This window comes from Homo sapiens, chromosome 15, assembly GCF_000001405.40.
Source record: "Homo sapiens chromosome 15, GRCh38.p14 Primary Assembly".
Taxonomy (NCBI): Eukaryota; Metazoa; Chordata; class Mammalia; order Primates; family Hominidae; genus Homo; species Homo sapiens.
The window spans coordinates 100,089,133-100,104,764 of record NC_000015.10 but is presented as its reverse complement, the minus strand read 5'-3'; the positions used below and the strand labels follow the sequence as shown (position 1 = coordinate 100,104,764).

The window sequence follows — 15,632 nt, the reverse complement described above, 5'->3', positions numbered from 1 at the left end:
CAGGGGCCTAATGAGTGGAAAGTCTGTATCTATTCATTGATAATAATTGTCTAATTACAACCGATTAAACATACAAATCACCCACATTTTATATGAGACAGCACTCACAGAAATATTGCCGTGGTTTGCCTACTAGCGTTTTCCTCTCTTTCCCCTTCAGCTATAAATTGTGCTATTTTGGGGTAGCAGACGGCATTCTGGGAAATGTCGAGGAACATAGTAACTAGTTGGTAGGGGATGAGAGGCTTCAAAATGGCATTTTGAGTAGATTCCACTGCACTCCAAATAGCAGGCTGATTCAAACCATAACATGAAACATGGAAATGCCATTTTATTCTGTTTTTATGAGGACTGAATTAAGTTTCATTTCAGTGAGTCACAAATTATTTAACATGCTGAAATTAAACTTAACAGCACTCATAAAATTGGGAGGGAATTGGGGAAAGTAACAGAAACATTGTGTATTTTTCAGCAAGCTCCTATAAATCAAGAGTCCCATCATTAATGATTCCTACTGTTGGCCTCCAGAAGGAGAGACACCGGGTTAATAAGCCTCTGATACACAACTGCATCTGGAGCTGCTGACATGCAATGAGCGAGTCCAGCTGACGCGCGGCTTTGCCCATTGGATGATGGACAGACCCAGATGTACCTGAGACCCAGCTATGCTTGCCTTACTGGTTTGTGCACACCTGTAGCCAACATTCTCCAATTCAGTTCCTACTTCCTTGGTACCATAATTTGTATACATATCCTGGGCTTGATGAATACCAAGCCAAAACACCTTCAGGGCCTGTGACCTTCTTCAGTGAAGGAAGTACGTCTCATTAACCTGTGCTTCCCTATACACTGGCCCAGAGGAAAGCCTTTGATTGCATATTGAAAGAAGGGTCAGGTGCAGTGGCTCATGCCTATAATCCCAACACTTTGAGAGGCCAAGGTAGGTGGATTATCTAAGGTCAGGAGTTCGAGACCAGCCTGGCCGATATGGTGAAACCCCGTCTCTACCAAAAATACAAAAATTAGCCGGGCATGGTAGTGCATGCCCATAATTCCAGCTAAGGAGGCTGAGGCAGGAGAATTGCTTGAACCCGGGCAGTGGAGGTTGCAGTGAGCCAAGATCGCACCAGTGCACTCTAGCCTGGGCGACAGAGAGAGACTCCATCTCAAAAAAGGAAAAGAAAAAAAAAGAGTGGCTGGATGGATGGATTATGTGTTCTTAGGATTTCAGTGGTTCTGGAATCTGGAGCCCATTTCAATGGACGACTTTCATTGCCAAGAATTTATTGGCCTCCTATTTCCTGTCCAAAGATCATCTGTGAGGCAGGTAGAATTACTGGGGAAGTTTAGGAGAATTCAAAGAGACCCTGGTCTCAGAGGACCCCCAGGTAAAGCAGAGGTAACAAGCCTGCAGGAAAGCGTGCCTGGCACTTAAGCCTGGGTTTGCATCTTCACGATGCTCCCCACATGCTGCCCTTCCCTGCACCGTGACCCTGCAGCTGGCATCTCTAACGTGTGTTACTGTGGGTGCCAAACCTTTATGGATAGCAGTGCCTGAAACGTGAAGGTCATTCCCTGCACCCCTTTTTTCTGATTAACCTCCCATGACAACTTCTGGTTGAAGCCAGCAGACCAAGCCACATGTTCCTGCCTCTTCCATGCGGGACTCCACTAAACCAGCACAAACAGTGAAGGGAAGCAGGAGCTTCCAGGTGAAAGATCCCACCTCTTTCTGGATGACAGAAGTGGGTGGAAGTGTCATGCAGGAACAAAGCAGCAGAGGCCAGAGCTGGAAGAGGCGGAGAGTCGCCACTGAAAAGACAGCCCAAACCGAGAGCTGTGGGCTTGAGAATGGAGGGTCGGAAGTGAAGAGTGGGCTGAAAACAAGTCCGAGGGTGCATCGGCATGCTCATGGTGTCTGATCCCACACTCAGAGCTTGACGGGCTGTCAAGTAAAATGTTAGGGAGCTGCTTTCCAGGGTCATGGAATGAACTGTTTGAGGAAACCCAGAGCAGGCAGGGAGGTCTCTGTGCTGAGGACGGTGCCCAGCCTTCTGCGTTGGGGTTAGAGGTCAATTTCCCTCGCACTAGTTACGAAAGGAAACCTACCATGCAGCAGTGCCCAGCTTCAAATGTGGATCCCTTTCAGTCGGCCTTCAAATGTAGATCTCCTTCAGTAGGCCTTCAAATGTAGAGCCCCTTCGGTCGGCCTTCAAATGTAGATCCCCTTCGGTCGGCCCTCAAATGTAGATCCCCTTCGGTCGGCCCTCAAATGTAGATCCCCTTCAGTTGGCCCTCAAATGTAGATCCCCTTTGGTCGGCCCTCAAATGTAGATCCCCTTCGGTCGGCCCTCAAATGTAGATCCCCTTCGGTCGGCCCTCAAATGTAGATCCCCTTCGGTTGGCCCTCAAATGTAGATCCCCTTCGGTCGGCCCTCAAATGTAGATCCCCTTCGGTCGGCCCTCAAATGTAGATCTCCTTCGGTCGGGCTTCCTGTTGCTTGTTCTCAAATACGAGTGGGCAACCAGACATCATCTGCTATTTGAAGAAAACCAGCAGCATGAAGGAGAAAGACCAAGAAAAACAAACAGAAAAAACTGACCCTGGCAGAAAATTGAGATAATTATGGAGTTCTCCGTGCAGCCAAACTATCAAGCAAGCATGCAGGGAAACTAATTTTGAGACACAGAAGAACTCAGAAATTCTATTTTCCATGCATGCGTTCTGCAGAAGTTACATGTAGTTTAGCAAAACAAGAATGAAGTCAAGAAAGAGGAAGATGGGCACTACAGGCCCTGGTGGCACTCACCCAGGAACCCAGTAAATCCTGGAGTCACGGCTGCGCAACTGGCCTAAAATCTGCACTCGCTTAAAAGTCATTCAAGAAGTCGGTGGCCTCCCTCCAACCGAAGAGATGGGATGAGGCAGTAGTTGGAAGATAGCTAATAAGTTGAAGAAAGCAAGTACTGCTTATTCCAGCCAGAAAAAACAAGTACCATCAAAACTTGTACGAGGAAGTCCCAATTCAAATATGAGAAAACTAGACTCCCCAGCTTGATAAGAGGTCATCATTTGTATGCTCTTACTGAACACACATGTGCTTAATACCACACCAGCCACTGTGTGTGTCAGAGGATGGGGGAAGGCCAAGAATACAAAGAATTCTCAGACACAGTCCTCTATGTGCTTATGGTCCGTTAGGGAGATGACACATACTCACTTGGAAACCCAACGACCAGAGGCGAAGGCGTGATTTAACAACCAAGAAGAGGTTCCACTTAGACATAGCAGAAAACCCATAGGGTGGAATTTCGTTTATTCCTGCATCAGGTATTTGTTGATCACATTCCGAGTGCTGCACACTGTATTGTGTGCTGGGCTTTCATTAGGGAGCAGGACCAAGAGGATCCCTGTCCCTGTCCAACATACAGACAGGCCATGTCAGCTCACAAACGTGATCATTCCAGAGATTGGTATGTGTGAAGAAGAAAATGGTGCCATAGAGAGACCCAGCGGGGGACTGTGGCTGAGGAGGACAGTGAGCAGGTGGCATGGCATTTCTCTTAGAGGAGACAGCCTTTGAGGAAGAGCCAGCCTGGCAGAGAGTTGGGGGCAGAGAGCTCCAGGCAGAGGGAAGCAAGAGGGAGATGGGTGCATTCCAGCAACAGACGAGGGCGGAGGCTGGCACAAAGGAGCCAGGGCCCAGGCAGAATTGATGCAGAGGAGTGAAGCGATCTTAGCTATGGATAACTGACTCAAGTAGATCCCAGGAAACAAGTTAAGAGGCTATTCTGGTTGCCCACCTGGCTGAGGGGTCATTCCGGGGGAGGGCTTACAAGAGTGGGCTGGAGGGGGTTGGATTCACTGTGCATCTGGAGTGGGGGAGGAAGGCAGGCTGAGTTGGTGAGCAGCTGGAATGAGATCATGGAGGGTCTTAAATTCATATGTGCGGACGTTTCTGATAGGCAGTGGGGATCTTTGGCCACAGATCTTATCTCTCTTTTTGTGTGGAGATTAGTCTGGCAGCAGGCAGGAGAAAAATGCTCCCATAGTTCATGTCCTGATTAAGGAGGGTGTAAACTAGGGAGTGGAGCTGAACATGGAGGAGAAGTAGGCAACAGAGGTTTTCAGGGCACAAAAAACCCAAGCTCACCAACTAACTGGGTACATCCCAAAATAGAAGAGTCAGAAATGGCTTGGAGGTTTCAGGCTAGGATGCCTGTCTGTCAGTTCCAAGACAGTGGCAGGGGGTGTCCAACTAGAATTAAGAGGTCAGGCAGCTTTGGAGGAGAAGCTGTCGCATTGAAAGTGGAGAGATTGCTCAGCAGACTCTTAGTAGTGAGAGCCAGGGTGGAGTGAGGGGAGAAGTGGGCTTAAGAGCTCTTTGCATGAGGATGATGGCTGAAATAAGGAGAAGGCGAAATTACCAAGAAAATGAAAAATCGGAAAAAGCAGGGAGCCCCGGGGGAGCTACCCACTTTCACGGAGTCGAAGAAGCAAGAGGAGGGAGGAGTCATCCAGGGGCTGGGAGGAGAATCAGACAGGAGCCATCCTTGGCTTCCAGGGCATCTTTAGCACACACTCTGGGGTGTCTGCTTGTTTCCGCACTGGCGTCTCCCTCCATCTTACATGTCTTTATTTCCAGGTTAGGCACATAACAGGCACCACGGGTGAATCAATACATGCACAACAGAGACAGGGTGGGCGTTACACACAGCGGACGCTGTAGAGCAGGAGGTGAAAGATGAGGCTGGAGACACGTCCACTAGGTGTGATGACCAGGAGGCTGTTGTCCCTGGTTATCTTCAACAGGGGCAAAGTTCCAGGGTGGAATCCAGGACTCAGACAGCTAAAGATGGACATTTGCCACTGTCCACGGCCCATCCTGTGCCCTCCTCAGCACACGGATCTGAGCACTAAAGCTTTTCCAAGCACTTTCTGCATGTTTCTCAGGAGCTGTCTTGACCAATGAAGAACTTGTGCTTTTCCCCCCGTTCCATCCCATCTCATACCATCTCATACCATCCCATGCCTTTAATTATGCCGTGGGACATTGTTCCTTGGTCCTTTGGTGTCACATACACCCTGACTTAGCCAGAGGCACAGGGCGCGACCAGCAAATGCTGGCCAGGAACTTGAAGCCCTGCTTTGAAAGCTGAGAAATGGGTGATGAAGATTCCTAGGAAAGTAACTAAGGATCACCAGGATAACATGGGAAGACTTGAGAGAGTTTATTGCCTGGAGTTTCCTCAGGCTTGGTCATCTTGTTCTCTTGGAACACCAAGCCTCATAAATACAATCATCAAAGCTCCCCTAATATTCAGAATTAATGACTTCAGTTGTGTCCTATGGCAGCTTCCATTTGAAAACCATCCCAGTTTCTGCCAAGATTATAAGTTGCTTGCGCTGACTGAAACAATGGAAGAAAATGCCCCCGTTCGCAGATTTTGTGGCTGTCACCCGTCAGCATTTAGAGTCACTGCTGTTCAGACATGGACAGCCCTGCATTCCCTGTCTCCAGATGCAGACAGCCTCTAAAATAACACCAAGTAGAGTGGGCAGAACCCATGGACCTGTCCCAGCCCCTGGATGGTCTCCAGAATTAACTGAAAGGGCAACGCTGTATGCATTCCTGTTTGCACCTGCCCTGAAAAGCCCCCTTCTTTGGGGCTGGAGGAAACTGGACCAAATGGGGCATCTAGAAGCTGTTGAATCAGGAAACCTTAACTGAGGTGCAGGACAAGGAACCAGGCCTGAAGCCAGAGACTCACTCCTACCAAGCAAGGGTGTGGTTTGAAAATTATAGGAAGCCAGTGTAAGGAATGTCTACAGCAGAGGGCACCTGAGATGAGAAAGCCCAGGTGGGAGCTGGAACAGGTGCCAGGAAAGAGGCCAGTGGGAGAGACCAGCTCTGTGGGCATTGGCCCTGTGGCCCCAGCAGAAGCAAGTCTGGAGACCATGCACTGGAGCTCTGAAGTGAAACAAAGCAACAGACACGTGGTCTCACAGATTTGGTCTCGGCGTTTGCTAAACACTGCTGGGGGACATTTTCTGATCTTGGCTACTCTTTATTCTTAGCCCTTATAATTTTTTTTTTTTTTGAGACGGACTCTTGCTCTGTTGCCCAGGCTGGAGTGCAGTGGCGCAATCTCAGCTCACTGCAACCTCCGCCTCCCAGGTTCAAGCTACTCTCCTGCCTCAGCCTCCTGAGTAGCTGGGACTACAGGTGCGTGTCACCATAGGTGCGTGCCACCATGCCTAGCTAATTTTTGTATTTTTAGTAGAGACGGGGTTTCACCATGTTGACCAGGCTGGTCTTGAACTCCTGACCTCATGATCCACCCACCTCAGCCTCCCAAAGTGCTGGGATTACAGGCGTGAGCCACCGCACCGGGCCAGCCCCTGTAATCTTTATACTGAGCAACTTGATAGCAGCTGGCTAGCAGTCCACACCGAGAATCTAGGCAGCCCTGCACTGCGCTCCAGGCTCACGGTGCCTCATCACAGCTGGCTTCCCTCCAGGTCACTACTGGATGGTCAGCCCCGGCAAAGCATTGCAGTTGGTTGCCAGTTACCATATGTGTCTTGATGTGTTACCTACATCTCCCCAGCCACCATCAAGCCCACTGTTATCCATTTGCTCCTTGCTGTCCTCTGGCCACTAAAGCCTTCAATTTTACCCTTTTCCTCTTTTTATACTAACTTTGAACAAGTTTGATCTTTTATTCAAGCTCTGCCCTTTTTCAGATTTCATCATGGTCATTTTTAGACTCAACTTGCTCAGCTTTTAGAACATCTAAAAGTCTTCTCTGGAATCTGTCCAGTTATGCTATCATTTTTGGACAGAACAATAGTAATTTCCCATTAGATCTTTTTCAAAAAAATAAAAGGCTCCGAGGATGAGACCTGAGGATTACTAAATATGAAGAGCATTCACCTATTCCTTTGAGTAGCATGCCATGATGCAGCGGTTCTCATCGCATGGCCCCGGCAAGCAGCCTCAGCATCTCCTGGGAGCCGATTAGAAATGCACATTCTCAGGTGCACCCAGACCTGCTGGGTCAGAAACTCTAGGGCTGGGACAGAGCAGTTTGTGTTTTAACAGCCCTCCCCATGAGGCCGATGCACACTTAAGTTGGAGAACTGCTGCCATGATGAACAGAGGATGCTGATGTCTTTGGGGAGTTGTGGGGCCAGGCACTTGCCTCCAGGGATGCGCGTGCAGCCAGCCTGGCACCCGAGGCGCTGTGCTAGCTCTAAGCCCTGCCTGCAGGTGGGAGTACCTGTGAGGGGGAAGCACGGTGCTGCTTCTCGTCCAGGCATCACGGGAAGGGGCTAACTCACCTCCACCAGGATTATCTTGCATCTTGATTTCTTGAGTTCTGGCTGTAGATCCCTTTGGAGTCTGAAGTGCCAATATGTAATCTGGGGTGCAGGGCAGTAGGAAAAACCCAGTTCTTGTTCTGGAAGCATTAGCTTTATAGGGGGAAAATGTGGAGGGACATTTAGGCAATGTGGCTAGTAAATAATTACCCAATGTTCAGTATAAATTTAGGTTATTTTGCAGGATACAAAATTCTCACTTTTTTAAAAAAGAAAAAAAGAGTCCAAAACCTTTTTCTGCTTTTTAGAAAACAGGCTGTGCTTCTCAGATCCACCTAGGGTAGAGGCAGCCTCTCCTCTGCTCTCAGACGTGCCTTGTTGAAAAGGTATGAGAGATGGGGCTCTTCATAGACTAGGTCTTCCTACCTGAGAAAAGAGGGGCCCGTGCCAAGCCCTGCCTGAATGAGCTGTGGGCATCCCTACCTTGTTAGAAAAGTCTGTGGTTTCTGTTGTATGTTCTGAGACTACTGGTTGTTTCAGCCAAGTTGCAGGTGACCCCCACAGCCTAGAGGGGAACCCCCATCATGAGAAATTGTGGCTGCACCTGCTGGTGTGAGGGTTCAGGCTTCACTCTCTCCCCAGGGTCTCTGCCCCCAGGCAGTCAGGGCGTCAGGCCTCAGCGTGACCCCCATGGGCACTTGTGCCTTCATGGATCTCCCTCCAGAACAAATACCAAAAAATAGACTTTACAGCTATGCGGGTATAAAGACAAATATAATCTAGGTTGGATTCTGTGCATCTTTTTTCTCTCCTGAATTAAAATATTTTCTTGGGCCTCTGAATGGATCAGGGCCCCAGGCCCCATGTATGCTGCACCTCATGGAAAAGTTAGCCTTGCAGGGCAGCCTCTTTAAAACTCCTCTGAGTCTTAACCACAGAATAATGAGGCCCTCTGGTTCTTTAGAAAATCGGCTGTGACGGCATCATCGGGTCTGCAGCCAAAGAGGACAGATGCGGGGTCTGCAGCGGGGACGGCAAGACCTGCCACTTGGTGAAGGGCGACTTCAGCCACGCCCGGGGGACAGGTGAGTGTTGGCCCATGGGGCTGCTGTGGCTACAGTGTTTTGTGTCCTTTGCCTACAGCTATTGATTGCAGTCTTCCCTACATTTCATATTTAAGGGCTAGATGGTAGTGGATAGGTGACCTGGAACTTCAGTTTCATTTCTGAAAAGCAAGAAAGGACATTTTAGCAAGAATGATGCCTTCACGTTGCTAGTAGTGAATAGTTTGCCATGAACGGAAACAGCTCCCCACTTAGCCTGAGGTCCATGAATCACTGGTAGCTGCCCTGGGCCAGGAGCTCAGCACTTCCTGGCATCTCGCCTTCTGATGCACAGGCAGAGAAGGTGGGAGAGACACCTGCCAAATCATTTTACCTGTCGATGGAAGACGTTTGCTCTGTGTTTGAATTTTCTGTTAGTAAAAGTAGGATAACACATTTCTAAAACGTGCATGAAGCCGTACAGTCTGGAAGGTCTCAGGTGCCACTGCCAGCTGTGACTCCGGAGTACCTGAGCCTCCTGGTCCCCAGGGGCAGACATTCCTTAGCACTGTCCCTAGAGAGGGATGCCAGGATTCGGTTGATGGGCCGGCTTCATCTTTCTGCTTGCATGGTTTTTGCAGCTGCAGGCTGCTTTGTCTTACATGGGACACAACTTTCTGATCTCCTGTCCTGGAGGACAATGTTTAAGAAAGCGTCTGTAGTTGACACCTAGTGAGGGGAGCACGAGGCAGGCAAGCCAGCTGGAGAGGGAGCTCTGGCAGCCTTAGCGAGTGTGCACTCACCCCCCATCACCAGGAGAACTTGTGTTGGGAGGAAGAAGCTGAGAAACTTATTTTAATTTCCACAAGTTGCTCTGCATAGAAGCTTCTCAGTTCATTTTCCCCCAACAAGAGAACAGAAGCACATTTATGCCTCCCTGTCTCACAGAACAGCCCCGTAAGGTGAGGCATGCTCTCCTCTCCACTTTTCTCTGTGTGGATAGGAAACCTGGTCTGGAAGAAACGTTCCTTCTAGATGCCTGCGGGAAAGACAGCCTACTGCGCCAACATTTTGCAGGACCCTGTGAAAGCAAAACCAGAGGAAATGCAAATGCAAAATGAAACTTAAAAATGAAATTTCAGGTGGATTTTAAAGATGGGTACCTAGTCAGTGAGGCACGGAGCTTAGTGTGAGAAGCTGTGCCTGCCACGTGGCTCCTGAGGTCAACAGAGAAAGGAGAGGCAGGAGCAGGTTGGTTTGGGGGAAAGTGGCCTCCGTAGCTACACTGTCCAGTTCAGCAGCCACTGGCCCCTGGAGACGATCCAAACTGTAATTCATTAAAATGAAACCAACTTAAAAGTTCATCTTTCCATCTCACTGGGAAAATTTTGAGTACTCCGTTGCTGCACACGGCCAGCGGCTCCTGTGTTGGGCAGCACAGGCAGACAATATTCCCAGCATTCCAGAAGGTTCTATTGGACAGCACAGCTCCAGAGCGTTGCCCATTTCTGCTACTGGTTTTGACATACTTAATGCCATTTTCTCTATTGGTACCCCAGCTCCTGGGCTCCCATGAGAATTTGACCTTGCCTATTGCTGCTGAGGCAACATTTAGGAGCAAAACTCCTGCAGTTGGTAAAGGATTACTACTTACTGTTGGCTTTTCTTTTTTAATGGAAGCATTGGAACCCTTTGTTTATTAAATTGAACATTGTACTGAGCTCCCATAAAGAGAACTGACTACAAGTGCGTGATTCTGTAGAAGACAAGTCAGGTACAGCCAGGCCCACTCCCATCGCCAACCCTGGGCAACTCTGTATGTAGAACACTAAGGAAAGTTCTACCACACATCTAACTAACATAGGATCTCACTTCTGAGATAACCCAGATTAAGGTCAAAAGTGGTCTTCCTTTACCCAGACTCTGATCTGTATACCAGCCCTTGATTTGACCTAGGCAGACCTGTTCATCTGGCCACAGTAATGTCCTCCTCTCCTGCTCACCCCTTTCCCTTCTCCATCCACTCCGGCCTGGGCCACATCCCTGTCTGGAATGTGAGGTCAGACCCCTGTGGCCATGACAGTGAGTCCCCCATGGAAGGATGGACCATACTGGAAGCCTCCTTGGGTAGCTGCTCCCACCCTGGCTTGCAGCCTAGTGTGTGTCCTTCCAGCTGCCAAGGCACAGAAGCCTCAGCAAACCTTCAGGCAAAAATAAGCACACGTTCGCTTCACCTACCTGGACTGTCATTCTGAGTGATTGCCAATTGTCACACATTCATTTTAAGGTACACAGCAGTTTTTTGTTTTTCAAATCCTCACAGCTGGAGTCTGTGACCACGAGCCCACATCCATGTGGATTGTATATATTGAAAATCTGCCTGCAGTACTCATTTGCACAAGAATGAGTCACTGGCTGCCTATCTAGTATAGTTTCATTCAGCACAAACTTGTCATCATGGTCTGACATACTGGAATGCACTTTAGAGATACAAATGGTTACCCCCAAGCCCAATCACGCAATGGTTATTTATGCAGCATGACTACATTTTAACCGCTAGGTATACAGAAATAAGTTATTGTCCCCACCCCAGGTACAGTCGAGGGAGGGGACCCCCGGGCAAACAGACAGCATCAGCCTATGTGAGCATGAGGTGGAGGCAGCCCAGCAGGCGTGTTGTGAGACCCCAGGTTCTGGTGGGGCACCAGACCTAGGCCTCCAAAAGCTGAGGGTGGCCCCCAGCACTAAAGGACAAGTAGAAATCAGCTGATAGTGGGGGTAGGGGGAGGACACTTCAGGCTGAAGGGGAAACATATCCTTGCGAGACCCAGCATGGAAATCGTAGAAAGCCCCCAGGTCAAGAGGCATCTTGGTGACGCCAAGTGCAGCTGAGTGGGTGGATTCACCAGGCCTATCAGTTTAGATAGGAAGCTGACTTTCATCTCTGCTTGCCCCTAAAGAATGAGGGAAGGAGGAGTGCCTTATCACCCTTAACGGTGAATATCAAAGAGAAACTCCACACCAGAAAGATAAAGCGGAATCAAATGCTGGATTTTTGCCCAATTTTGTGAAGTCCTGACCCCTGCCTGAACTCCTGTGGGTCCTCTTACCAAAGTTCCTGAGCTGAGAATCCAGGGCAGACCCACACGTGGCGAAGTGTCCAGCCCAGCAGAGCCAAATCTCCCTCTCTGTCATGACAGGTCCCAGTGTGGCACCAGGGGAAGTGGCATCCTGAGTGTAGGGCGTTTATCGCCCTCCAGCCTGTTGCTTCCAAACTTTGAACAAATGAGGTCCTCAGCTACTTATCTATGGAAGGAATCAACTCAACTTGGCTATCATATTGCTTTTCTGATGGATGGGCTTCAAAATGCTCATGCCTTGGGCTGGCTCAAGACAGCTGAGTTATCTGAACCTAGTAATTTGAGTATGATGCTTTCATTTCATTAAATTGCCATTTTAACAATATTATCTTTATTCCGCCCTGCTCCTTGGCACTAAAAAGGTGGCTGGTCAGTCTCCAGGTGACCAGCCCATGGACAGCCAGGACACACCTGGACTGAAGTCCTCACTGAGAACCAGCCAAGGATACCTGTGGGCTTCGGATCCCTTTGCTTTGTGTTCTTGCGAGAACCTTTTCACGTAATCCTTAAAAGAAAGGGTGGGGTGAGGATCCCTTTTGAATGTGGATAGATCCATGTGTCACATATTTGTTCAGTAATTACCTCTAGAGCCCCTGCCACATGCCAGGTTCCATGCTCTGTGTAGTGTGGGGTGTGGAATCTCGTGGGGGCGGAAATTCACTGTTGGGGCTTATGGTACAAAATGAGGCTTCTTTACACTGTGATGAAGAATCGTAAAATGTGCACATAAACCAATTACAACGTATTTCTTTTTCTCAGTTAAGAATGATCTCTGTACGAAGGTATCCACATGTGTGATGGCAGAGGCTGTTCCCAAGTGTTTCTCATGTAAGATGCTGGATGTTACGTGTCGTCCCAGCAGTGACATGCTTGGTGTGGCTCTTGCCTGGCTCACGCGTCTGAGTGTTTTCTGAATAGAATCAATGGGAGTAAGTTGTGTGCGAAGCCATGGATAAACTCAGAGGCCATTAAATGCTTACATAAACTGACGTTGAAGACTGATTACCATCAGAAAAACTGTAAGATGAAACCAATTTTAAAGCTATAAAAGACAGAGTCAAATGGAAACGTACCCTAGCCTGCTGGGGGTAAGTTTTCTTTCCCCTCAAGCACACCGTGTGCTCTGGCAGAAAATACCTAGACATGCCAGAGAATTTAGCCTTCGCTGGCACCTTCTTCCATAGAAAAGTTTTCATATTTCAGGACTGGTGTCCCTACAGGCAGAGGGGCATTTGGTAACACCCTTCTGGTCTTCGTTTGTCTACACTGACCTCCCATTCTGAGGGGCGAACCAAGGCACAGTCTAGCCTCACGGGTTTCCCAAACAATGAGTTCTTTTCCATTAGACCCAGGAACCACCATTAGGGAGAAACGTAAGATAGTAATATTCTTGTGAATAACTTTTGTAAGAAGAGAAAAATAAAACAAATGCCTCTCCAAATATTTTATGATCTATTTACTAAACAAAAAAAAAGAACTCTGATTTCAGGGGAAAGAGTCCAAGTACACGTAGCCAGAGTTTTACCTCTAGTCCATCATGGTACCTTTTCAGTCCGATGGTTTTCTTCCAAAGATGGTTAATGCTCCTGAAAACATGAGGAAAAATGGGAGCCCCAAGACATCTCACAGCAAGTCTACTTGAGAAATTCAGACACAAATGACTTCACAGGGAAATTGCTCATAGCCTAGTAATAGTAACTCTGGAAGATTTGAGACAGGTTAAAGGTCAACATCACTTTGAAGTTCCTTCTTACTGCTGGTCCTTAGGGCAGAAATGGCATGTTCTCCTGGAACCACGGCAAAGGCATTGGATTTTATCCATGGCTTCCTCATGAAACCAAATCATGTTCCTGTAACTGGATTTCTCCTGCTTGGTGGCTGAAGCTGGAATGGGAAATCACTCCAAAGATAAAGCCTTACCTAAAATGTGAATCTACCTTGTAAATTCTGAGAGTAAATCCTACCTCATAATTATTCTTCATGCTTCGGCAGTGTGGTGGTATCTGGCATCCACATCGGGGGTATCTGGCCTGAGAGACGCCAGGGTGCTTTGGGACTTGGTGGTGGTACTCTTTCCCTTCTTGGTGGCTCTTCACACCTGCCTCAGGTGGACTTTGAGCTCTGGGTCAGAGCAGGGGTTGGAGGACTGTGAGCTCGAGGCAGTTTCCCCGGTTTGTGGACAGAGGGCCTGCCTTTCAGTTCAGGGACTGTCTTTTTCATTGGTTACCCTTTTTTTTTTTTTTTTTTGTTGAGACGGAGTCTCACTCTGCCTCCCAGGCTGGAATGCAGTGGCACGATCTCGGCTCATTGCAACCTCCGCCTCCCGGGTTCAAGCTATTCCCCCGCCTCAGCCTCCTGAGTAGCTGAGATTACTGGCATGCACCACCAAACCTGGCTAATTTTTTGTATTATTTAGTAGAGATGGGGTTTCACCGTGTCGTTCAGGCTAGTCTTGAACTCCTGACCTCATGATCCACCCGCCTCAGCCTCCCAAAGTGCTGGAATTACAGGCGTGAGCCACTGCGCCCAGCTGGTTTCCTTTTTATCATGAACAGAGAAACTTGTCGTAGGACGGTTAGCAGAGCGCATGCATAAGGACTGCCCTGCGTTGAGAGGTCACCTGAGGGTGGGCTCACTTGGGTACCGAGTCCGCCCTGAACTGCCTTTCATCAGCACCTCCACCAGGGGCACATGAGAAAAGACAGAAAACGGATGTCTTTTCACTGATGCATCCTGTGGCAAAGTTAAGCTTAAGAATAGATGTGGATACCATGCATCAGCTGCACAGGGACCTTGCTGTGGAATGAGGGAAAGGAATTGATCAGGGCCCCATCAGCTCTGTCGGATTCTGCAGATCGGTGATCCCAATGCCAAGGTTTGTTAGTTGCAAAAGTTTCCATACAACAGCAGCTTCCTTCAAGAACAGCTCATCCCCCACAAGCGGATCTTGTTTGCAGGTATGTTTGGTAGTTTGAGTGGAGATTCCTCTGAAAAAGATTCTAATCACTTTGACCCCGAACAACTTTTATCTCAGTTTTTGACATTTTACTGCCTTGGATTCCATATGCCTGGAATCCAATCACAGTTGAAACTCCCCAGAAGGAATGGATTTCTCTAAGAGAGATTTGCTGTAGAATATTTTGTGCCACAATCCTAAAAGCTGGTTTTCTTGTGGCCAGAATTTTTCAGTAGAGAAGGAATCCTAGAGCAAACACAATTTTTTTTCCAATTTATTTCTGAATTTTATTTTGTTTTTTTTTTTTTTAATTTTATTATTATACTTTTAAGTTCTAGGGTACATGTGCACAACAGGCAGGTTTGTTACATATGTATACAAGTGCCATCTTGGTGTGCTGCACCCATTAACTCGTCATTTAACATTAGGTATATCTCCTAATGCTATCCCTCCCCCCTCCCCCAACCCCACAACAGTCCCCAGTGTGTGATGTTCCCCTTCCTGTGTCCATGTGTTCTCATTGTTCAATTCCCACCTTTGAGTGAGAACATGCGGTGTTTGGTTTTTTGTCCTTGTGATAGTTTGTTGAGAATGATGGTTTCCAGCTTCATCCATGTCCCTACAAAGGACATGAACTCATCATTTTTTATGGCTGCATAGTATTCCATGGTGTATATGTGCCACATTTTCTTAATCCAGTCAATCACTGTTGGACATTTGGGTTGGTTCCAAGTCTTTGCTATTGTGAATAGTGCCACAATAAACATATGTGTGCATGTGTCTTTATAGCAGCATGATTTATAATCCTTTGGGTATATACCCAGTAATGGGATTGCTGGGTCAAATGTTATTTCTAGTTCTAGATCCCTGAGGAATCGCCACACTGTCTTCCACAATGGTTGAACTAGTTTACAATCCCACCAACAGTGTAAAAGTGTTCTATTTCTCCACATCCTCTCCAGCACCTGTTGTTTCCTGACTTAATGATTGCCATTCTAACTGGTGTGAGATGGTATCTCATTATGGTTTTGATTTGCATTTCTCTGATGGCCAGTGATGATGAGCATTTTTTCATGTGTTTTTTGGCTGCATAAATGTCTTCTTTTGAGAAGTGTCTGTTCATATCCTTTGCCCACTTTTTGATGGGGTTGTTTTTTTCTTGTAGATTT

At 47.9% G+C, this 15,632-nt stretch overlaps 1 protein-coding gene across 17 annotated transcripts in view; it reads left to right on the top strand.

Moving 5' to 3' along the window:
- The window catches only part of ADAMTS17 (ADAM metallopeptidase with thrombospondin type 1 motif 17), a 370,539-nt gene that overhangs the window by 237,211 nt on the left and 117,696 nt on the right, over positions 1–15,632 (top strand). For 12 of the 17 annotated variants that reach the window (XR_001751118.2, XR_001751120.2, XR_001751119.2 and 9 more), the window contains 2 exons: positions 8,289–8,409; positions 12,267–12,335. Coding sequence is in view for 14 of the 17 variants with exons in the window: in XM_011521312.3 (XP_011519614.1) it covers positions 8,289–8,409; positions 12,267–12,335 (190 nt within the window). In the remaining 3 variants the exon portion in view is untranslated. Of the gene's footprint in view, positions 1–472; positions 964–8,288; positions 8,410–12,266; positions 12,336–15,632 lie in introns of those variants that run through there. The other 5 variants (NM_139057.4, XM_005254872.4, XM_017021975.2 and 2 more) reach the window with 2 other exon arrangements.